At 36.7% G+C, this 24,646-nt stretch overlaps 1 protein-coding gene across 12 annotated transcripts in view, besides 1 other annotated feature; it reads left to right on the forward strand.

Moving 5' to 3' along the window:
• The window catches only part of RBMS3 (RNA binding motif single stranded interacting protein 3), a 729,325-nt gene that overhangs the window by 282,763 nt on the left and 421,916 nt on the right, over positions 1-24,646 (forward strand). For all 12 annotated transcript variants that reach the window (XM_005265061.3, XM_017006180.2, XM_017006179.2 and 9 more), the window contains exon 4: positions 23,281-23,372. In XM_005265061.3, the coding sequence (XP_005265118.1) occupies positions 23,281-23,372 (92 nt within the window). The remainder of the gene's footprint in view (positions 1-23,280; positions 23,373-24,646) is intronic.
• Positions 12,999-13,500: an enhancer, noted in NCBI's record as "H3K27ac hESC enhancer chr3:29618323-29618824 (GRCh37/hg19 assembly coordinates)". NCBI's record gives its function as "activates a minimal SCP1, AML or CMV promoter by ChIP-STARR-seq in naive H9 embryonic stem cells {active_cell/tissue: H9 hESC(naive)}" and the evidence as "EXISTENCE:reporter gene assay evidence [ECO:0000049][PMID:30033119]".

Genomic DNA, 24,646 nt, shown 5'->3' on the forward strand with positions numbered 1-24,646 from the left:
GGGCAACATAGAGATACTCTGTCTCTACAAAAAATTAGCCAGGTATTGTGGCATGTACCTGTGGTTTCAGCTCCTCAGGAGGTTGAGGTGAGAGCATCATTTGAGCCTGGAAGATTGAGGCCGTAGTGAGCTATGGTCACACCACTGCTCTCAACAGTGTGAGATGCTGTCAAAAAAAAAAAAAGAAAAAGAAAAAAGAAGAGAAGAAAAGAAAGAAGGAAAGGTAGAAAGAAAAGAAGGAAAGAAAATGTTTCTACATTTGTGATTGAGTCTTTTAAAACATATGTATGTCACATGAAACCCACCTGCATAATTTCACATTGCATATGTAGCTAATCTATATTACAATAAATTTTTTTTAGGCCAGGAGCAGGGGCTCATGCCTGTAATCCCAGCACTTTGGGAGGCCAAGGTGGGTGGATCACCTGAGGTCAGGAGTTTGAGACCAGCCTGACCAACATAGTGAAACATGTCTCCACTAAAAATACAAAAAATACAAAAAATTAGCTGGGCATGCTGGTGGGCACCTGTAATCCCAGCTATTTGGGAGGCTGAAGCAGGAGAATCACTTGAACCTGGAAGGTGGAGGTTGCAGTGAGCCGAGATCGTGCTATTGCGCTCCAGCCTGGGCGACAAGAGCAAAAAGTTCATTAAAAAAAAAAAAAAAAAATTTAGTTCTCTGAGACTAGGTTACCTTATGTACAAATTGGAAGTCATAATATTAATAAAGTTATAGGACTTAAATGAGATAAACTAGGAAAAGAAATTAGTATATAGCATATAGTATGTAACCTTTATTTTTATTATTATGTAAATATTGATATGTATATTTTGGACACTGGAGTTTGGTTTTGTCTACCTCAAACCAGAAGGTTTACACTACCTTGCAGAAACTTCGTGGGAGAAGAGTTGGAATATTTCCCTCCAGCTGTACCTTATGTTTCAGAATAGAATTCATCCTGCTGTAATGTGTCAGCTTAGGCAGGTCAGTTTCTTTAAAGACAATGCCATAGTTTGGGCTTAGATACAAGTCAATTCTATCAATTCCAAGAAAAAAAAAAGAATATCTTTAAAAATCAATCTCAAAATATTTCATCGAAGCTGTTGCTGCTTTGCTTCCTAGACAAGGATGCTTTAGGCAGCAGGAGTTTCCTTTAGATTTTTTCATCCTTTCCTTTCTCCTAAGGGCAGAAATTAAGCATTCTTAGGTTGATCTTTTTCTTCCTTGTGTAATTCAAGACCAGAGGGAATTTCAAGCTTCCTGTTCATCAGCAAAATAAACTGATATAAAATGAAGAGGGAAATTTATTCTCCCCTCATCACCAGTTTAGGAAAGGAAAGTTAAATTATGTTCCAAACGTTTATCTTGTATATGGTATTTGATAAGTGGTTGAAGGAGCTTATTGTACAGTGTAAAGGAGAGCTCTCAAAAACTTAGAGGGAATGAGTTATTAATGTGTTATAAATGCACCATAAAGAAAAAACTTCTGGCTTGTGACACTGTTTGTGAATTTTTGTGTGTTTGAAAACATTTCCAAGGTCATGTTTTTAAGGGCAGGACTTGAAAACAGTGATTTCACTATGGAATTCTGGCATTCTCTAAACAGGACTTCTTTGTGAGCACCCTTGATCTTGGTATTTTTTGTCTCTTCAAGATGAGCTATGAGCTCACCTATTTTTGTTTTCCTTCTGCTGAGCAATACTGTTCCTGGGCTCTTTTGTTAAGTCACAATAAACTAGGCAAGCAACCAGGAGGTCCTTGACACAAAGTCCTTTATTGATCTGAAAACCACACTGTGCTAACCTCACCTTAAAATCCTATAGCATAAATCTCTAGTTCCTCAAAAACAGCCAAAGTATTAACACCAAAACACTAGATATCCTTGTTTTCAATGCATATTTGACAATTTAGAAAAGGTAGTTCTTTATGAAAAAAATTGTTTTCTTTTTAGTTTTAAACTTTTATGTCCAACATCTTCCAGGTCTCTCTTGAAGATAAATGTTTTGCCCTTTTGTGCCAAAGAGCACAAAAATACAGTCAGGCCAATGTCATGATTGTAGGGTTGGAGTTGCAAATTTAAAAGATTCTATGATGCTCCTTAAATTATAATATAAAAGTATTTTATAATAAGAGAGGCAAGGAATTGTGTATCAGAGAGTTATGAGAATTATAATGCCTGAAGTTATATATGTGACCAAATGAAAGGCTTTTAATTTGTTAGGAATTTGCTCATTCATTCACTTACTTATTGACTCGTTCATTCAATGGCTAGTATGAGCCAGAATGTGTGGTAAGATGATATAGTTACAAACAAAACCATTCTGTTCTCTATGATCTTGGCACTTACAGCCTCTTAGGGTAAAATATAATAATCATATAAACAAATAAAATAATCCACAAATTATGCCCACTGCAATGAAGGACATTAACAGCATGCTGTGATAGACACTAATGGAGGAGAAGAATTCAGCTCCTGTACAATCCTGGGGAGTGAGTGCTCCAGTCAAAAGCAACAGCAGGTGCAAAAGCCTCAATGTGGCCAAAATATAGTAAAGCAGTAGAAGAGTAGCATGCAAATTGATGTAAAAATTGTGAAGCTCTACGTAACACATAGGTGATGTTGCCTGTCCTGCACTGTTCTACATGATACCTTCCCCAGTGTCTCCACTTTGGTCAAGATTACATGTCCCCGTTAATTGCTTGAATTCACCCTTTACTTACCTGTCCCCAAATATTTGTTCATACTTGAATGCTATTTCTCCCTCATGTCTAAATGTTGTCATTCTGCAAAGCAAAATGCAAAAAAAAAAAAAAAAAAAATTAGGGAAAAAGAGTATACATTGTGCGATTCAATTAATGGAAGATTCTAGAAAATGCCAAATTCATCTGTAATGACAGATGCCTGGTTGCTGGGGGTGTGTGTGGAGGTGGCTGCAAAGAGGTACAAATGGAATTTGGGGGATGATGAAAGAGTTCTGTATCTTGATCGTTATGGTGGTTATGCAGGTGGATTATCTGTCAAAACTCAACAAACTGTACACTGAAATGGCATTTATCATATGCAAGTTATATCTTAAATAAGTTGATTAAAAAGTTATAGAATAAGAAAAACAATAAAAAGCTTAAATTCATCTTCTCCATTATCTCTCTAATAAGAAATAACCTTTCTTTCTATCATCATGGCATGTACTGTTCATGTGTTATAGGTTTTTGTATTTGTGATAAGCATACCACATAGAGCCCTCAGTGAATGTCATGATGTTAAAGTGACTATTTCTTCATTGGGTTTGCATATTACCTTATGAGAGAAATCACGTCTCATTTGTACTTTTCTCCCCCCACAGCACCTAGCTTAGAATACATAAAAGAACCTCACTGAGCATTTGGTAAATCAATAGCAATATTTTTATATTTACATCCTGACTGGTTCCCAAAAAGGATGAGCAGGAAAAGAAATTGATTTCCAGGAGTTGATAAATGAATAGACTGTTCTTGGCACTGGAGCCCACATCCTGTCTCCATATGTAAAAATTGGTGGTAGAAAAGGGTTTTCAACCTACCTTCTTCACACTCATGCTTACTTACTGATTTAATGAAATGCTTGTGATGGTTTCTGTGTTCTCCAGTAGGTAAACGCTATACAGACCCTCTGCATTATCCTTCTTAATAGTCCATTATTCCTCTGTAGAGAGTCCAGTGGTAGAATCAGCGTTGTCAAGCTGCAAGGAGGGGACACAAAAGTGTTATAGGAAGGTGACATTTATGCCCCATTATGAGTGAAGGAAAATCGAAGGAGCAATAGTGGTCTATTGCATAACTGCCCCTGTTGGGTTGTTATGAGGAGAACTGTGTAAATCAGCCCTCGTGCTTATCCTTGAGAAATTCTTTTTCCCCTTTCCTCATAGCCTCTCTCTGTGCAATTTTTGGTGTTCTCAACTGGCCGATTACCTAGAATATTAGCTTTTCAAAATATGACACAGAAGTTCACCAATTCCTTCCAACTCATAACACTTTAAAATTGCAATTCCAAATTATTCCTGTAAAAATAGCTGATCTTTATGACTCCTAGGGGATTTCTTATTTTAATCTGAAACCTTCAGAAATGGTTCAGTTTTGTGAAAATGATGGGGGAATGTCTGCCCTTAGCAGTTTTTGTGTTCAAGGGCAAATCAACCTCTGTGCTTGCTAACTTTAATTTTCCAAGGGTTATGAGACTTTAATTTGATTCTTTATCCAGTGTGCATAAAATGTTCACTGGAATTTGCATAATACATTTATTGTATAATCATTCTTCACATTGGTTACCTGCTTCCTCAAATGAACATTACTTTTTTAAAGAGATGAATTAATGTAGGGCCAATTTGAACTTAGTAACTAAACAGAATTAAATATATCTCTGATGAACAAACATAAAAGAGACAGGGAAGGAGAGCAGATACTTGTTCTGAAATAGGCTATTATGAGAAAATAGCCCCAGTCCTGTATTTTTAAATATTCATTTTGTACATATAGGCAGGAGAAGAATTGCTGTCTTTAAAAATATAAAGATTTGTTATGTGAAGAAAGGAATACATTTGTCTGGTTTCTCTTAGAATGTATTTAAAACAAACGAATTAAATTAAGGTGCTAAATTTCAGCACAGTCTAAAAAGATGAGGGAGTTGGAGAGAGAAAATGCCTTTGGCATTAGGCCAGGTGCTTTAAATGCACTTAAATTTATTCAATGCCCAGAACCGACATAGAATTTAGGTAGTGTTATTATTATCCTTATTTTTGGTTGAGTGTTCTGTGCCTGAGGACTCATTGCTATCAAATAGTGGAGCTAGTATTTGAATCTAGACTGCATGATGGCAACATCTGTGCCTTTCAACTACAACAGTTTTCTCTGAAATACACTTATCTCTCATGGACTGCCTTGGAAGACTGTGTACTCCCTAATATTAGAATTGTCCAGGTGGAGTTTGGAGGAGTGTTTGGCAAAGAGATTGTAGGAAGATTGGAAGATCCAATAGAGGTTCAAGAAGATGACTTTTAAGATTCCCATTCTCTCTATAGTTTTATGAGAGTAGCAGGTGCAGTCCTGACTTGCTGAGTGGCTTGTTGCAGTCCAGGGAGTCTCAATCTTTAATGTGCATATGGCTTTCTTGGGGATCTTGTCAAAATGTACAGCCTGATTCAGTAGACCTAGGGTAGGCCTGAAATTGTGCACTTCTAACAAGCTCCCAAGTGATGCCAACATTGCTTTTCCACAGCTCACATCTGAGCAGCAAAGTAGAAAACCTCTCAGGCGAGGTGCTTTTGATTTCTGCTTGCAGAGCCATTTTCCTAGTTTTTCAGGTCTTGACCGTAGTTGGGACAATTATATAAAAACATCCTAAACTAAACAGTTCTCTAAACTGTATCTGAACCACCATGTCCTAGGATCCTGAAATGCTGTTTTCCTTATACAATTAGGATACTGCCTAGAGGAGAGATTTCCTCTGTAAGTCATGAACCTCCAGCAATTTAAAGGGACACGAAAGAGCTGATACCATCAGCAAGCATACTAATTTACAAATTACATCAAAATGTTCTTGGAGACAACATATCTTTGTTGAAAAAAAAATTCCACTTTCAACTTATAAATAAATATGTAATCATGGTACAATTACATGACTATTCAAACTTTTGATATCCTTTTTGAATCACAGATCTCAAATTTTGTCTCATAAGATTCTGATATATTTCCAAAAATCCTTTGAGATGGATCCAACTTAATTACAATGAAAAGAAAAATGGGCTTCCAATCCCTTGTATTTCAAGAGATGGGTGTTTGAATTTGATCTAACTGGCTTCTGATATCTTTGGCTTGCAATGCATGAAAGTCTTTTTTTAAAAAAAAGATCTTTGAATGAAACAAAAAACTTAGGAAAAATCATTCTCTAAAGTCTAGGAGGCTTTGAAAGCATTGCCTATTTCCATTTCATTAATTTTAAAAATCTTTCCAAATCTTGGAATAAAATCAGTTTTGCAAGTTAAGAAACATTTAGCTAAGGCAAACTGTATAGCTCAGAAATCTTTCAGAAAGGGTTAGGCAATTGGAATGCTGAAAATATTAGATTGATGGGATTATAGAGATCCATATTTACCGACCAAGAAAAGCAGTTGCTTAGGGAAAAATCAGATGTTAAAATTGTATGTATAATCTGATATCATTTTGGCTAAAATAAGGAAAACAATTTTATTAAAAATTTATTATCTTGGATGGTGGCATCATAGCTAATTTCTCTTTGTATTGGCTGAATTACTATAATAAAATTACATAACTTATAAAATTAGAAAAAATCAATAGTCATTTTCTTATTTTTGAAATTTTAATTTTTGTGAGTACATAGTATGTATATATATTTATGAGGTATAGGAGATATTTTGTTACAGGCATGTAATGCATAATAATCACTTTATGGAAAATGACGTATCCATGCCTTCAAGCATTTATCCTTTGTTTTATAAGACATCCAATTCTTTTAGTTATTTAAAAATGTACAATTAAATTATTTTGACTGTAGTCACCCTGTTGTGCTATCAAATACTAGATATTATTTATTCTTTCAAACTATTTTTTGTACCCTTCAACCATCCTCACCTCCCCCTCATCCCCTGCTACAGTTCCCAGCCTCTGGTAACCATCCTTCTACTGTCTATCTCCATGTGTTCAATTGTTTTGATTTTTATATCCAACAAATAAGTGAGAACCTGCAATGTCTGTTTTTCTGTTACTGGCTTATTTCACTTAATGTAATGACCTCCAGTTTCATCCATGTTGTTGCAAATGACAGGATCTCATTCTCTTTTATGGCTGAATAGTACTCCATTGTGTATAAGTACCACATTTTCTTTATCCATTCATCTGTTGATGGACACTGAGGTTGCTTCCAAATCTTGGCTGTTGCAAACAGTGCTGTAACAAACATGGAAATGCAGATATCTCTTCAATATATTGATTTTCCTTCTTTTGGGCATATACTCAGCAATGGTATTTCTGTATCATATGGTAGCTCTATTTTTAGTTTTTTCAGAAATCCAAACTCTTCTCCATAGTGGTTGTACTAATTTATATTCCCTCCAACAGTATACAAGGGTTGGTTCCCTTTTCACTACAACCTCTCCAACATTTGTTATTGCCTGTCTTTTGGATAAAACCATTTTAACTGGGCTGAGATGATATCTCATCATAGTTTTGATTTGCATTTCTCTGATGATCAGTGATATTGAGCACCTTTCCATATGCCTGTTTGCCATTTGTATGTCACCCTTGAAAAATTTCTATTAAAATATTTTGCCCATTTTTGGTTGGATTATTATATTTTTTCCTATACAGTTGTTTGAGCTCTTTGTATTTACTGATTATCAATCTGTCAGATGGGTAGTTTGCAAATATTTTCTCTCATTCTGTGGGTTGATTCTTCACTTTGTTCATTGTTTTCCCTCACTGTGCAGAAGCTTTTTAACTTGATGAGATCCCATCTGTCCGTTTTTGCTTTGGTTGCCTGTGTTTCTCCAATGTTTTCTTTTAGTAGTTTCATAGTTTGAGGTCTTAGATTTAAGTCTTTAATCCATTTTGATATGTTTTTTGTATATGGTGAGAGACAGGGGTCAAGTCTCATTCTTCTGTATATGGATATCTAGTTTTCCCAGTACCATTTATTGAAGAGATTGTCCATTCTTCAATGTGTGGCTTTGGCACCTTTGTGAAAAATGAGTTCACTGTAGGTACGTAGATTTGCTTGTAGATTTTCTATTATGTTCCATTGGCCTATGTGTCTGTTTTTATGCCAGTACCATGCTGTTTTGGTTACTATAGCTCTGTAGTATAATTTGAAGTCAGGTAATGTGATTTCTTCAGTTTAGTTCTTTTTGCTTAGAATAGCTTTGGCTATTCAGGGTCTTTGTGATTCTGTAGAAACTTTAGAATTATTTTTGCTATTTCTGAGAAGAATGTCATTGGTATATTGATAGGGACTGCATTGAATCAGTAGATTGTTTTGGATAGTATGCACATTTTAAACAATATTGCTATCCAATATCCAATCCACAAACATGGAATATTTTTAATTTTTTTTGTGTCCTCTTCAATTTCTTTTATCAGTGTTTTACAGTTTTAATTATAGAGATATTTTTCTTCTTTGATTAATTCCTAAGTATTTAATTTTATTTTTGACTATAGTAGGTGGAATTACTTTTTAAATTTCTTTTTCAGATTGTTCCCTGTTGGCATATAGAAATGCTACTAATTTTCGTATGTTGATCTTGTATCCTTCAACTTTACTGAATGTTTATCAATTCTGATAGTATTTTTGGTAGAGTCTTTTAAGTTTTTTCAAATATGAGATCGTATCATCTGCAAACGAGGATAATTTGACTTCTTTCTTTGTCATTTGGATGCCCTTTATTTCTTCCTTTTCTGACTTCTCTAGCTAGAATTTCCAGTACTATGTTAAATAACAGTGGTGAATGTGAATATCCTTGTCATGTTCTTATAGGAAAGGGTTTCAGTTTTTCCTCATTCAGTATAATACTAGTCATGGGTCTGTCACATATGGCTTTTATTATGTTGAGGTATGCTCTGTCTATACCTAGTTTTTTGAGGGTTTTTATTATGAAGAGATGTTCAATTTTTTCAAATGCTTTGTCAGCATCAATCAAAATGATCATATGGTTGTTGTCCTTCATTTTGTTGATATGTTGTATCACATTGATTGATTTGTGAATATTGAATCATTCTTGCCTCCAAGACGTAAATCCCACATGGTCATGATGAGTGATCATCTTAATGTATTGTTGAATTCAGTTTGCTAGTATTTTGTTGAAGATTTTTGTGTCAATATTAATCAGAGATATTGGCCTGTAGTTTTCTTTTACTGATGTAACTTTTTTCTCGTTTTGGTATCAGGATAATACTGGTCTCATAGAATGAATTTGAAATTATTTCCTCCTCCCCTATTTTTCAGAATTGTTTGAGGATTGGTATTAATTCTTCTTAAGTGTTTGATAGAATTCAGCAGTGAATCTGTTGGGTCCTGGGTTTTCCTTATTGGGAGACTTTTTATTATGGATTCAATCTCATTGTTAGTTATTGGTCTGTTTAGTCTTTGGATTTCTTCATAATTCGATCTTGGTGGTTTGTGCATATCTAGGAATTTATTCAGTTCCCTTTGATTTTCCAGTTTATTGGCATATAGTTGCTCACAGTAGCCATTAATGATCCTTTAAATTTCTGTGACATAAGTTTTAAGAGCTCCTTATTCTTTTTTATTTTTTCTTTTGAGATGGAGTCTTGTTCTGTCACCCAGGCTGGAGTGCAGTGGCACAACCTCAGCTCACTGCAACCTCCGCCTCCCAGGTTCAAGTGATTCTCCCACCTCAGCCTCCCGACTAGCTGGGATTACAGGTGCTTGCCACCCTGTTTGGCAAATTTTTATATTTTTAGTAGAGATGGGGTTTCACCATGTTGGCCAGGCTGGTCTCAATCTCCCAACCTCTGGTGATTTGCCTTGGCCTCCCAAAGTTCTGGGATTGCAGGCATGAGCCACCATGCTCAGCTTCCTTTTTCATCTCTTATTTATTTCTTTATTTAGGTTGTCTTCCTTTTTTTTCTTCATTAGTCTGGCTAAAAGTTTGCCAATTTTGTTTATCTTTTCAAAAAGCAAATGTTTCATCTATCTTTTGTATTATTTTCTTTGTTTCAAATCATTTATTTCTACTCTGATCCTGATTTCTTTTCTTCTAACTTTGCGTTTAAATCATACTTGCATTTTTAGTTCTTTAAGATGCATCCTTAGGTTCTTTATTTGAATTTTTTCTTATTTTTTGATGTAGGCACTTATAACTATAAACTTCCCTCTGAGTACTGCTTTTTCTGTATTCCATAGGTTTTGATATGTTATGTTTCCATTATCATTTGTTTCAAGAAATGTTTAAATTTTCTTCTTAACATCTTTATTGAACCACTGGTTATTCAGGAGCATATTGTTTAATCTCCTTGTGTTCATATAGTTTCCAAAATTCCTCTTGTTGATTTCTAGTTTTATTTCACTGTGGTCAGAGAAGATACTTGATATTTTTTCCATTTTTTAAATGTTTTAAGGTTTGTTTTGTGACCTAACACATAATCTATCCTAGAGAATGATCCACATGATGAGGAGAAAATTGTGTATTCTGTTGTCTCTGGATGAAATGTTTTGTAAATATCTATTAGGTCCATATTTTCTATACTGCAGATTAACTCTGATGTTTCTTTGTTGAGTTTCTATCTGGGAGATCTGTCCAATGCTGAAAGTGGATTATTGATGTCTTAGCTATTATTGTATTGAGGTCTACCTTTCTCTTTAGCTCTAATAATATTTGCTTTATATATCAGGGTGCTCCAGTGTTGGGTGCACATATATTTAGAATTGTTATGTTCTTATGCTGGATTGACCCCTTTATCATTATGTAAGGACGTTCTTTGTCTCTCCTTGCAGTTTTTGTCTTGAAATCCATTTTTTCTTATATAAGTGTAGATACACCTGCTGTTTTTTGGTTTTCATTGTCATGGAATGTCTTTTTTTTTCCATCCCTTTATTTTCAGTCTGTGGGTCTTTATACGTGACGTGGGTTTCTTGTAGGCAACAGATTATGGAATCTTATTTTTTCATCCATTTAGCCATTCTATGTCTTTTGATTAGAGAGTCCATTTACAATCAATGTTATTATTGATAGGCAGGGACTTATTCTTTCCGTTTTGCTATTTGTTTTCTGGTTGTTTTGTAGTCTTCTCTTCCTTCTTACCTTCCTTTCAGTCTTCCTTTTAGTGAATGTGATTTTCTCTGACGGTATGATTTAATTTCTTGCTTTTTATTTTTTGTGTATCCATTGTGTGTTTTTTTGATTTGAGGTTACAGTGAGGCTTCCAAATACTATCTTATAACCTGTTATTTTAAACAGATGAAAACTTAACACTGATTGCATAAGAAAACACACACACACACACACACACACACACACACACAAGAAAATTAATAAAAACCCTACACTTTAACTTCATCCCCTGCTTTTTAACTTTTTGTTATTTCTCTTTATGTCTTATTGTACTGTCTGTATCTTGAAATGCAATTGTAGTTATTGTTTTTGATTGGTTCATCATTTAGTCTTTCCACTTAAGAGTAGTTTACACACCACAATTATAGTGTTATACAATTCTGTGTTTTTCTGCATATTTACTATTACCAGTGAGTTTTGTAGCTTCAGATGATTTCTTCTTGCTCACTAACATCTTCTTCTTTCAGATTGAAGAACACCCTTTAGCATTTCTTATAAGGCAGGTCTGGTGTTGATAAAATCCATCAGCTATTTTTTCATCTAGAAAGGTCTTTATTTCTTTTTCACACTTGAAGGATATCTTTGTCGGATATACTATTCAAGGGTAAAAGTTTTTTTTTTTTTCTTTCAGTACTTTAAATATGTCATGCCACTCTCTCCTGGCCTGTAAGGTTTCTACTGAAAAGTCTGTTACCAGATGTATTACAGCTCCATTGTATGTTGTCTTTTTTTCCTCTTACTACTTTTAGGATCCTTTCTTTATCCTTGACTTTTGGAGGTTTGATTATTAGATGCCTTGAGGTAGTCTTCTTTGGGTTAAACCTGCTTGGTGTTCTATAACTTTCTTGTGCTTGAATGTTGGTACCCTTCTCTAGGTTTGGGAAGTTCTCTGATATTGTCCCTTTGCATAAACTTTCTACACATAACTCTTTCTCTACCTCATGTTTTAAGGCAAATAACTCTTATATTTGCCCTTTTGATACTACTTTCTAGATCTTGTCAGCATGCTTCATTGCTTTCTACTCTTTTTTGTCCCCTCTGATTGTGTGTTTTCAAATAGGCTTTCTTCAAGCTCACTAATTCTTCTGCTTGATCAGTTTTACTATTGAGTGACTCTGATGCATTCTTCAGTATGTCATTTGCATTTTTAAACTCTAGAATTTCTGCTTGATTCTTTTAAATTATTTCAGTTTCTTTGTTAATTTTTTCTGATAGAATTCTGAACTTTTTTGTCTGTATTATCTTTAATTTTTTAAAATTTCCTCAAACAGCTATTTTGAATACTCTGTGTGAAAGGTCACATGTCTCTGTTTCTCCAGGATTAGTCCTTCATGCATTATTTAATTCATTTGGTCAGGTCATGTCTTCTTGGATGATTTTGATGCTTGTAGGTGTTCATAGGTGTCTGGACATTGAAGAGTTAGGTATTTATTGTTGTGTTCATGGTTTGGGCTTGTTTGTGCCCATCCTTCTTGAGAAGGCTTTCCAGGTATTTGAAAGGACTTAGGCCCTCAGCCCAATATTTCTGTGGTTTTTGCAGACTCATAGAGGTACCACCTTGGTGGTCTTGGGTAAGATCTGGAAGAATTCTCTGGATTACCAGGCAGAGACTCTTCTCCTTTTCCTTTACTTTCTCCCAAACAAATGGAATCTCTGTCTTTGCGCTGAGTCACCTGAAACTGGAGGTGTGGTGATGCACTGGGATTGACCCAGTGTGGTTCCTGTGGCTGCCATCAATGTGACTGCTGGATCAGACCTGAAACCTGCATAGCACTGAGTCTTGCCCAAGGCCCACTCTAACCACTACCTGGCTGTCACCTATGTTTACAAAAAACCCTTGGCCTCTACAATTTACAGGTGGAAAATCCAGCCAAGTTTGTGTCCCTACCTTCAGGATGGCAAGTTTCCCCAGGCCCCAGGTGGGTCCAGAGATACTGTCTGGGAGCCAGGGATTGTAGTCAAAAACCTTAAAAATTTGACTGATGCTCTGTTATACTCCAGCTAAGCTGGCACTCAGTCCACAATATAAAGTTCTTTCCACTCTTCCCCTTTCCACAGGCAGAGGAGCCTCTCCCTGTGGGCACTGCCACCACTGGCCCATTGAGGGGTTCTGCCAGGCCACTGCCCATGTTCCCTTAAAGCCCAGTGACTCTTCAGTCAGCTTGTGGTAAATGCTGCCAAGCCTGAGACTCACCCTTCTGAGAAATTGGATCTCCTCTGGCCCAGGGCAGGTCCAGAAATGCTGTCTACTAGCCTAGGCCTAGACTTAGTGACCCTAAGAGCCTGCTTTTTGCTCTATGCCACAGTGGCTGAACTGGTACCTAAGACACAAGACAATGTCTCCTTTACTTTTCCTTCCTCTACATCTCAGAGCCCAAGGCCCATAGCAAACAACCTGGGTTTTGCTGCTGGTTATTCAGGGCCCAATGGCTCTTTAGTCAGCAGGTTATGAATCCTTCCAGGACTAGGTCCTTCCCTTCAATGCAGCAGGTTGCCTTTTGGCCCAGGGTGTTTCTACAAATGTCATCTGAGAGCTAGGGCCCAGATTAGGGGGCTTAGTATTCTGCCCAATGCCCTATTCTACCACGGCTGAGCTGGTATTCAAGACACAAGGCTCCTCTTTACTCTTTGCTGTCTGCCCCTTAGGCAGAAGGAAGGAGACACTTTCATTGCTGTGAGCTGCCTTACTTATGGCTGGGGGAGGGATGGCACAAGCATTCCTTTAGCTGCCCCGGCTGGTGTCTCCCTAGGTCTCATGCCATGCCACCCTAGTCCTCTGGCTCTGAGCCCAGTCCAGCACTAGGAGTTGCATATGAGTTGCAGTCCCTGTGCCCTTGACTGCCTTTCAGAGTTTACCTAGGTCCCCAGAGCACTTTGGCCTGTGATGGCAAGGCTTGCCAGGAAACTTGGGTATCAACTGATGAGATGGATGATTCTTCTCTGGCTAGGTCTGGTCCAAATGCTCCCTCTGTGTGTGGGCATTGGCTGAGCCCAGTATAGCTTTGCTCTCCACTGTGGCAGGGCAGCACTGAGTTTAATGTAAAGTCCCCCAGTTGCTGTATTCTCCCTCCCTCAAATGCACAGACTCTTTGCTGCATGGCTCACTACCTGTGGTGTTGGAGGGGTGGTTTTGATGCTTCAGGACTGTCTTTCCTGTTCTCCTCAATGTCTCTTTCAAGATATGAAGTTAAAATTAGGTACTGGGATTGCTCACCTGAGTTTTGGTCCTTGAGATGATGCTTTTCTGTGTGCAGATAGTTGCTAAAATTTGGTGTTCCTGCTGGGGGTACAAACTATGTAGGTTTCTATTCTGCCATTTTGTTCTATCCTTTATCAACTATTTATTTTAGGAAAAGGAATGTGTGTACAATTGGAGAGCCATTTACAAAATCTTTACTACAAATGTTTTTGATTTTATAATTTGTGATAACAGGAACTATACTTTTATAACTCTATAAACCTCTGGGTGTCCCTAATACATAGAATAGTGAGAGCTCGAGAGTTAGTTTTAGTTGCCTTTCCAGGTAGGACCATCAGAAGGAATGACAGAGCAGTTTGTTTTGAAGGTAGACTAAAGCACCAAGGTCTAGGTGTAAGGGAAATTACGTTTTACTGAATTGTGTTTTGTTTGGCTTGTTTTTGTTTTTACCGTGTACATTTGTTACTCTCGATTGTGCATATATACATATAAGTGCTTTTTTTATTTTTAAAACTCTAATACTTAGTTAAACTTGTATTTGATATGTCAAGTGGGATGGAGAAAAGTAATCTGGAGTATAAGAAGATGTAGAATCCACCGTGTCTCATAGTGACAGGGACAGTATTTGAGGATATTTATTTAAAATATTTGAAATAAGGCCTATAAATGTGTGACTGAAGAGCATATTCAATCAAATATGAGTATAAATTAGGAAGTGCACAATTGTAGTTAGATAGAACCTTTTATCAAAGATTTTGAAGGGGGAAATCATGGATGGAACCCTGTCCCAGGAAAATGCTAGTGTGCAAAAGCACACACGGCTCTATAAGGAAATTTAGATCAAGTGACAAGTTGGCGGAGGGAATATACAGAATGTACAGTATGACAAAAACAAAGAATCACAGGTAATACATGCTTCTTTTTTTTTTTTTTTTTTTTTTGAGACGGAGTCTCGCTCTGTCGCCCAGGTCGGACTGCGGACTGCAGTGGCGCAATCTCGGCTCACTGCAAGCTCCGCTTCCCGGGTTCACGCCATTCTCCTGCCTCAGCCTCCCGAGTAGCTGGGACTACAGGCGCCCGCCACCGCGCCCGGCTAATTTTTTGTATTTTTAGTAGAGACGGGGTTTCACCTTGTTAGCCAGGATGGTCTCGATCTCCTGACCTCATGATCCACCCGCCTCGGCCTCCCAAAGTGCTGGGATTACAGGCGTGAGCCACCGCGCCCGGCCAATACATGCTTCCTAAAGGGGTTACCCCATATGTAGAATTCACTTTTCTTCTTTTCTGCTCTGAACTATTTCATGTATCTTTCCGGGTTGTTGCCCAATTTTATTATAATGGTCTATCCTCTAAAGATGAATAGGTGGTAAAAAGAAGGATGCTTCGGTTGTGGGGAAGAGTAAGTAGGGATGAGTACAAGCATGCTTCCCAGGCCATTTGCTGAAACTATTGAGTGTGAATATGGATTAAAGTACCTGGGAAGAGGTAGGGGGCTTGTCCTCCAGTTGATACACTGAGGTCATTACCTCTATTCCTTGTATGGAGGAATAGTCTATTGTTCTACCCATCTGTAAGTCTAGAGCAAGGGGGAGGGAAGAATGGGACAGCCAGGAATGAAATTTTAGTTAGGTTTGCCTATCCTAAATTGGGGCTGGGGTTTCTAGAGCTATAATTAAAGTGTTCAGTCATAGCCCACTTTTGTCATAATTATAAACTTGTTGGAATTGTTTTATTAATATGTTGGGCTTGCTCATGCAGTCACCATTACACACTTGTACCTCCTGCTGTTTTGATGGTAGAGACACACAGGACCAACAGCTCAAACAAGACATATATTTTATTTGTATATTTGAACACTGCATGTTAGCAAAGCAAAGCTTTGCTAGATGGTTCCCAGAGGTTAATCTGCCCATTTACTGCCAAGTACGCTGCTCCTTAATCTGTGCAATATTATAATAAAATAATGGTTGGTCTTTGGCAAATCAGTAAGTTTCTTTAATCTCGATAAAGCATAGTGACTGCACTAAGCCCATAAATAATGATTCTGATACTCATTTTGACTTTATTCAGTATAAAGAAGCAATTTCTCTCATTTAAAAATCAATTGAACATGATGAAGAGGAAAGTGAGTTTTGGGATTTGAATTTGTGTTTAGTTTAATAAGATTTTTTGTGTAACATAAATGGAATGAGAAAGTGTTCCATTTTCAAGTGCCGTACTACTAAATACTTTGCTCTCTAAATTTGTCTGTCTTTGTAATTGTTTTATTCTGCTAGGAAATACCATTGGGGACCTATTCCTTTTCCCCAGTCCTTATTTTTGTCATTTGTGTGCAAAATATATTGAGTTTTCCCCCACCTGGAAGAAACAGTTGCCATTTTAAAATACTAGCACTTTTTTCCCACAATTTATATGGTAGTGATTACTCTCTATATCTTGTACTTAATTTCAAACAAACTGAGAGACAGAAAGATAGACTAATTCATACATATATACATAAATTTAGAATATGGATAATTTTACCATCATGGCACTTACTGAATGGAACCTGGCTCAGTTGTTCAGCTCTGTTGACCAGAGCTGTACACCCTAAGCCATACATACTATACGGTATAAAATTAGTTCAATAATATGAAGATAACTGTGTCTATATGCCATTTAAACATAAACTCCACTGCATTTAAATTTATTTATCAACTCTACTAGACAATAAACTCTTTGTCAAGAAAAGCCATGTTAGAGTTTTTTTTTCCTTACAGCATCTGGCACTATCTTCCTTGTATGTAGTAGATGCTTAGTAAATTTAATAATATAATAATAATAATAATAATAATAATAAAAGGAAGATCTCATTGTGGTTCAAAAATGTCACTAATAATAGGCAAATTCTTGTTCCAAAAGCTGATGTCTTATTTTAGTATTTCTGGCACACAAATTTCAGAATGCTTAGGCAATTAAACTGGAATATGAGGGGACTCCAGTGGAGCAACCTGTTTTCTGTATAGTGGATATTGTTACCCATGTTATTTTACTCTGTTTGCTAAGTGTCTGAGGCTGCAACCCTCCCTGTTCAGGCAGTCCATATGTGGCTTCTTTTCTGTATCAACTCCCTGCATTTTATATTTTTAAGACATTTGAAAGCATAGGTGATTCAGACTATAATGGCTTAGAATTTTTCTCACAGTAAGCTCTTTTGTCTCTGGCTTTTGCTTTTCAGCAGGAACTATCTTTTGCCTTTATTTTTTCACAAATCTAAGGTAGACCATATGGCTATCATATTGGTTCCCCTGTGGTATCCCGGCTTTACTATAATGATCACTCACAGTAAATGGATACAAAAGAAGATACTGAAGAAATGAGTAGGTTTTCTTGTTGTTTTAAAAGAAAAGTTGCAATAAATATATCAATGCTGTTATTTCATTATCTTCTGTGATCACATAATGCAAAGAACTAGGAAATCCAATAAGGAAAGATAGTCAGCAATAACTGAATAGTTTAGGGATACAGTAGAAATACAGCAGAAATACAGAGGTATGGAGGCAGTCTAAGTGCCATCAGACTTCCAGGCAGCCTGCAAACCACCCCTCTCTCCCTGCAACTCAGTCATCCTATTCTGAGCCCAGACAACAGCCACAGAGTATTGCTAAGCCCAAATGGAAGGTGGGGAAGGATTTATGGAAAGGTGATTCATTGTTAACATCTTCAACTGTTAAACTTAAGTAGAATTTCAGCTGAATGTATATATAATTCTTAGCCCAAATGTTTGCTTTTTCTGTTTAGAAATCACATTTGACTCACGGTTGGATTGTCTTTGGAAGAATTTGGGTGCTACACCAAGCCATCTGTGTTTCAAGCGAGATTTTATGACAGTCATTCTGAAGAGGTGGAACAATACAAATGTGAAATTTAGTGTGCAGTTACACTCTGAGAGCAAGTCTCCTTGGCTCACTGTTGATGGCCCTGCAAATCTAAAGCAGGAGTTCTAGTTTTATCATTACTTTCCCCCAATACACCCCAACACACACACATAAAGAACAATCCCAATGTTGGTAAATAAATAAGCAGTTTAAATAGAGAACTTAAGGAGCCCACAGCAACACAGAAGTATAAAATAAGCTTTTGAAGATGGTAAAGAAACATTTAATGAAATTTCAAATGGATTGTCACGCAGTGGTTCAACTGAATGGCAAAGGTCTCAGGGAAGATGTTGCCAGCAAATGCACTAAAGGAAACAAATAAGAACCATCTGGACACTACTATTCTTTGTAGAATTCCATTATAGATAGATAGATAGATAGATAGATAGATAGATAGATAGATAGATACACACACACATACATACAGTTTTTTCTCTACAGTCACCAGGCTTGTAGTGCAATAAAAATAGCAAAACTTTAAATTAACACACAGGGTTTAAAACATTTCAGGAAAGCATTGATTATATCTGCCAATGGAATGAGTGTATTTGGCAAATGACCTAATTATCACAGAGCTGGTTCTTTCTCATTGCTCTACTTCCCGCTAATTGCAGAACTGCTGGCCTTCTCCCCCTGACAAGGAAGAAAAACAAGGACAGGAGTGTGTGGAGAAAACAGTGACATTCAGTTTTAATTCATTTGAACCTGCTGCCAAGCTTAATTATGTAATTGAGAGAGTGAGACGGGTGGGCTTACAGCCACTTGGGCCAGAGTTTCTGATGGTTAGCATTTGCCAGTGTTGTGTTGAGGATTTTAGCAGTTACCGGAAAGCATTATTAGCTGAAGCTGAACTAATCTCCCTTACCCTTCTCCTCACCAGATGTAGGTACAGAGGTTGCTGTTCCCAGACTTGATTATTTGTCATTAAGGAAAACAAATTGAAAGCAAATTAAAGTGGCTTTATTCCTTGCTAAATCCATCATTATTCTTTAGGGGCAGTCTCCTATTTCATTTTGCTTTCTTCTGATTGTGATGTAGTATCTGCTGTCATGTAAAACTCAGTAATGCAATGTTTATTTCTAGAATGGGAGTATTTTTCAGGGTTACTTGAGACATTTTTACATAAACTTCTATTGTAACTAGTGAAAGTGTGTATATATGAAAAACACATAATTTGGTGAGATATTTCTGATTTGGTAGCTTATCCCCTATTTTTAATTTTATTTATGAAGCCTTTATCCCCCTTGGCTTGGAACCATCAATACAGATATTTTGTACAAAAGGGCCAACCTCTCTCTCCTCGCTGGCAGAATGACTCTTTATAAGTACGCTTTTTTCAAAGTTTAGCCAGAACATCCCTGATTCAGAGAACTCTCAGGGTGTCTCCTACCCTCACAGAAATGTCCTCCGTTCAGATTGAAGTTTAGTCCTGGAGGTCAACATCTTGATTTTGTAATATCCTGTGTACCATGTGGGGGTGGAAAGGAGGAGAAGAAGCCAGAGAGAAGGCACGCTAGACTAAAGGGTGGGAGCCATAAAATAAGAGGCTGCCTGCTGGGTGGCAGCATGGCTGAAACAGAACCATGACCACTTAGCATTATGTGTTCTTTATAGCCCAACAGTATTAATAGACACTTTTATCAGTTAATCCCCATCATAATTCCATGAAGTAAGTTAACATTTTTTAAACGTGCTTTCCATTTATTTTCACAAATATTTATTAAGCATAGGCTAGATGTTAGGTACAGTCCCAGTACCTGGGGTAATACAATGAAACAACACCTGGTAATGGAGAGTGCTCTTTTTTCTTCCAGGTACAATGGGTGAAGGGGAGGATCCTTGTCTGGCGAAGGGCAACACTTTCATGAAGTTTCTAGATACGCCCACCCTTCTACTCTCTCAGGAATGTTATTCTATAAATTATCCACTTGTCCTCCTGTAGTTTTAATCTATTTTCTGCTTGATCTTTCCTATCAATATTCAACATTCAAAAATGCCAAGAACAGTATCTGTCCTGTAGAAAGTGGTCAATAATGATTTGTTGAATAATTTACATGAATACTCAGCAGTTTCCTACCCTAGCTTCACACTGGAATCAGGTGGGAAATAGACACACACACACACACAGACAACCATAGCATCTCCTATCTTAAAGCAAACAAACAGAAACAACTCAGTTGACCTTAGATCCCCTGCTAGCTAAATCTGTTTCTTAATTCTTCTTCCCAGCCAAGATAACTGCAAAGAGGCCTGTAAATCCTCCTCCTCATCTTGCTCATACTCTTCAACTACTCCAGCAGACTTCAATCCCCATCACTTGCCTAAAGCAAATCATGATAGTGACATCATGTTTCTAAAGACACTGGGCATCTTGAAGCTATCTTCTTGCTCAAACTCTCAGTAGCATTTCACATAATTGATCTCTCCCTCCTCAGAATACTTTCTTACCTTGGATTTGAGACATCTGATTCCCTTTTCATTTCCTTCTTCCTCTCTGACTCTCCAGCTTTCTTTGCAGTCTTTTCTTCTTATGTAATGCCTAAATGCTGAAGTTGTTTGAGTTCTAATCCTGGACCTATTTCTTTTATACTTACTCTGGGCATTTTTGACTATTTCCTATTAATAACATCTATATCTTTGTGCTGTTGTCCTCCTATATTTCCAATTTCATCTCCATTTCTGAGCACCAAACTAATATATCCAGCTGCGATTTGACATTTCTATTTAGATGTCTCGGGCATTTCTGACTCAACATGTCTCAGACCAATAATTAGATTTTCCTTCTCCCCTGCTGGTTCTTCCTTGAGTCTTCCCATTTCAATAAATTACATATCCACTCACCCAGTGGCTTATGGCAAAAACAAAACCAACCAAACAAACAAAACCAGTGGTAATCCTTGTCTATGTCTTTATGTCTTCCTTCTTTCCAGTTCAGTCAATCCATTTACAAAGCCCTGTTAATTCTGCCTCCAAAATATAACTCAAAGCATCCATTTCACCCTATTTCATTGCCAGCTGCCTTTCCTCTGGAATGTTGCAATAGCCCCTAAGTCATCTCCTGATCCCATTCTAGCTTCCCAGCTCCCCCGCAACATTGCAATCTCAATTTAAAAATGCAGATCATTTCACACCACTGCTTCTTTAAAACTTTCAATAGTGAACAATCAAAAATTAAAATCTATATTATATGCTGTCATTTACTTTCAAGGAAGATCTGCAATTTTGTAATTATATATTCATTTGTATGGTTATTTGTTCTTATCCATCTCCCAACTCAACTATTAGTTGCATGCATGGGAACTGAGGTTTTCTCCCACCACTATATACCCTTTGCTTAGTGCAGTGCCTGAAATAGAACTTTATTATTGAATGAATAAATAAGCCGATGAACGGATGAGGAAGATTGGCCAACGTGTAAGGTACAAGGTGGTTCCCATGTCAATCTCATCTTAACTCATCAACTGCTCCATTGACAAATGTACGATTAAATGAGCTCAATTAAATTATCTTATATGGAATTGTTTTATTCCATGCCATTTAAGGAATTTTCAAGAATTGAGTCCTTTCTCTGATGGGCTTCAGAGGCTACTAGCATAGTTTACAACGTAGGGATATAAAGCAATTCATGGTATGGTGTATTTGAAAGGACACATGCAGACTTTACTTCAAATCCTGGATCTGCTCAATGAGTGGCTTGTGATTCTTGTCAAGTTGGATCACCTTACCCTAACCTCAGTTTCTTCATGTGTATAATGGCACGAAGCCAGTAGTACCTGATGTTATTATGACTTCACCAAGTGCCAATGTGTCAACTACCTAGCACAGCAACCGACATGTGAGAGATGACATCCAGATTATAGTTTTGCTTTCTTCTCCCCTTGACCCTATTTCTTGACTATTACTTCCACTTTTTTTTTCTATCTTACTCATCTTACTGGGTAGTAATACTTACATTACCCATTTAGTTTGATTTTGTAGGGAGAGAAGAATTAGCAGTACTTACAGAACAGGCTTCCTTTTGGATTAGAAATACAAACTTCACAGCTTCTCTGCCCAGCTTTTCAAGAGCATTTTACAGTACACTGCTGTGTAACAAGTTCATTTTACGATAACATGCTGGGAGGGAGAAAAAGAAGACGAGATTCGAGGGGAAAAAATTAAAAAGTTAATTAAAAGAAACAACTTCGTAATTGGATTCCCTTGCACTCTTCTTTGGTTATTTTGGGGTGAGAGGAGGTGTCACAGTACACCTCCTTAGTAGGTTAGTAGGTTTGCTTCAGTGGCTCACCTCAAAACTTCTAAATGAGATAAGTATAAGAATACAGATGATTCCCTGCCTGACAGATGAGAAGAAGTATAGGATACATATGGTGAGCTTGTTAAGCATGCCAAACAAAGCTGTCCTTATACTCACTCTTGAGCATTTATATTTCAAAATATTCTTGGCAGTTAACATTACTGTTAGGCTAAGCCTTGGACTATTAGCTAGCTTAAGGACATACAAAATGGACTTTTCATTGATGCCGTTTTACTATTTCTTTGCTTTCACCATATATAGACATCCACACAAGCACACAATCAGAATAGCATAGGAAACTCATATACCCTTTTCAGACTGTACACTAGAAACAAATAAGCAACATAGTATTTCTTATTTTTAAAAGAAACATGAATATTTATGTATTTAATCATTCTTTTTCACAGATCTGTACGAGTCAAAATAATTTAAGATGCTATCATTGAGATAGACAAGATAATGGAAGAGCATGGGCTTAGTAATCAAATGGAACTAGGTTTTAAACCCTCTCATCCACAATATTTACTTATTCATGAAGTCAACATGTATTTATTGAATGCCTACTGTGTGCCAAGCACTACTGCAGTTGCTGATAACCTTTTGCGAGTTCTTATCATGGTTTTTGTTAACATCAATATTTGAGGTTTTGAAAATTAACTTTAGGGAGAGAATTTTCTATATTTTCCAGCACTTTGTGTACCTCACTTTTGCCATAATCCATGAAGAAAGAACACGGTTAAACAGTCTATTATCTTACTCACCAAATTAGGTTAAATTGGGTTACTGATTCTACACCCAATCTCCAAAACAATGGCTAGAAAATAAGAGTTACTATTTTATGTCTAGAGACATTATGATGTTATCTCTCCCAAAGCATTAAGGACCACTAATCTAAGAGCCTAATGTTCAACCAGGGTAATATGTCAGAAGAAATGAATGCAAGTCTATCTGTAAACTTGTACTTCATCAGTGAAGATAGAGATTCAGCTTTTTGTGAATATTAACAAGGGGATTTTGTGTTTTCACAGGTTATGGTTTTGTAGATTTTGACAGTCCTGCAGCCGCACAGAAAGCGGTAGCATCTCTCAAGGCAAATGGCGTGCAGGCACAGATGGCTAAGGTAAGATTGATGTTTAGGGGTGTTTTTTTTTTTTTTTTTTTTTTGTGTGTGTGTGTGTGTGTGTGTGTGTGTGAAAGAGAGAGAGAGAGATCAGGAGGAAGGAAGAAGGAGAGATTAAATATTTCTCCTTTGCTCTGAGCTCACTCAAACGTGGAGTTTGCAACAATTTGGTTTATATTTTCTTGTTAGGGAAAGTAAGAAACTCCACATTAGGTTTGGCTTAGGAGAATCTGTCTGGCTTATTTCATTGTTTCTTTGCCTATATTTATTATTGTATCTTTTGTTATGGTAACCTCATTAGAGACTTAAGGACACTCGTGAAGTGCTCTGTTCTGCTTGAGAAAGATGGGGTGTGTCTGTGTGTATGTGTCTTGGACTTCTACTGGTAAACAGTTTTAGAGTAGTAGAATTATCAGCAACTTGTCTTTGATAAACTGTGTGCTAAAAAAAGTGTGTGTTCTCTTAGCTGGGGAGAGCTGATTGTTGAATGATGGGGTTGTCTGATCTGTGCAGGGAAATGAGTTTAACTGAAGTGTACCGTGTCTGTACTGCTAGAATTTCACTTTGGCCTTTATATGTAGAGTTTTCTAAGATACTTTTAGGTATTAATAATTTTCAATAATTAAGTATCATTAAATAGAATATGTATTCTAGAACCTTCTACCTGAAACTGTAATGTATTTTATTATCTAAGAAAATAAGTTAAATTATTTACAATCCTTTTGTGTCCTGATTGCAGTGGTGGTTACAAGAATCTATACCTGATAAAGTAACGTAGAACTATATATACATATTGCGCCAATGTCAGTTCCCTGGTTTTGATATAATCATATAAAATGTAAAATTTGTAGAAACCTCATGAAGGGTACATAGGCTCTCTCTGTACTATCTTTGCAATGTCTTATAAATCTATAAATATTTCTAGCTAAAAAGTCAAAACAATTGTTTATAACATGGATGCTTATTAGATGTCTGCTTTAAAATGATGGCCATTTAGGATTTATTCACCTGCATCCTAAGTCTTTAAATATTCTTTCTGATTGATAATAGTGAACTTATTTATCTCTAGATTCTATAAATTTTAGGTGGAATGGCCAACAGACCTTGAAATCCTGATCTAATGTATTCATGCTCTGCTCGTGTATACATTTAAGTATTCCCATAAGAGTTGAGTGATAGAATGATAAGGTAGTCAGATTTTCAGTTATTTAGATTTTGTTGAGATTGCTAACATTATTTGATAACATTTTCCAATTTTGACCTCAAATAACTAG

The sequence above is a fragment of the Homo sapiens genome, chromosome 3, assembly GCF_000001405.40.
Source record: "Homo sapiens chromosome 3, GRCh38.p14 Primary Assembly".
Lineage (NCBI taxonomy): Eukaryota > Metazoa > Chordata > Mammalia > Primates > Hominidae > Homo > Homo sapiens.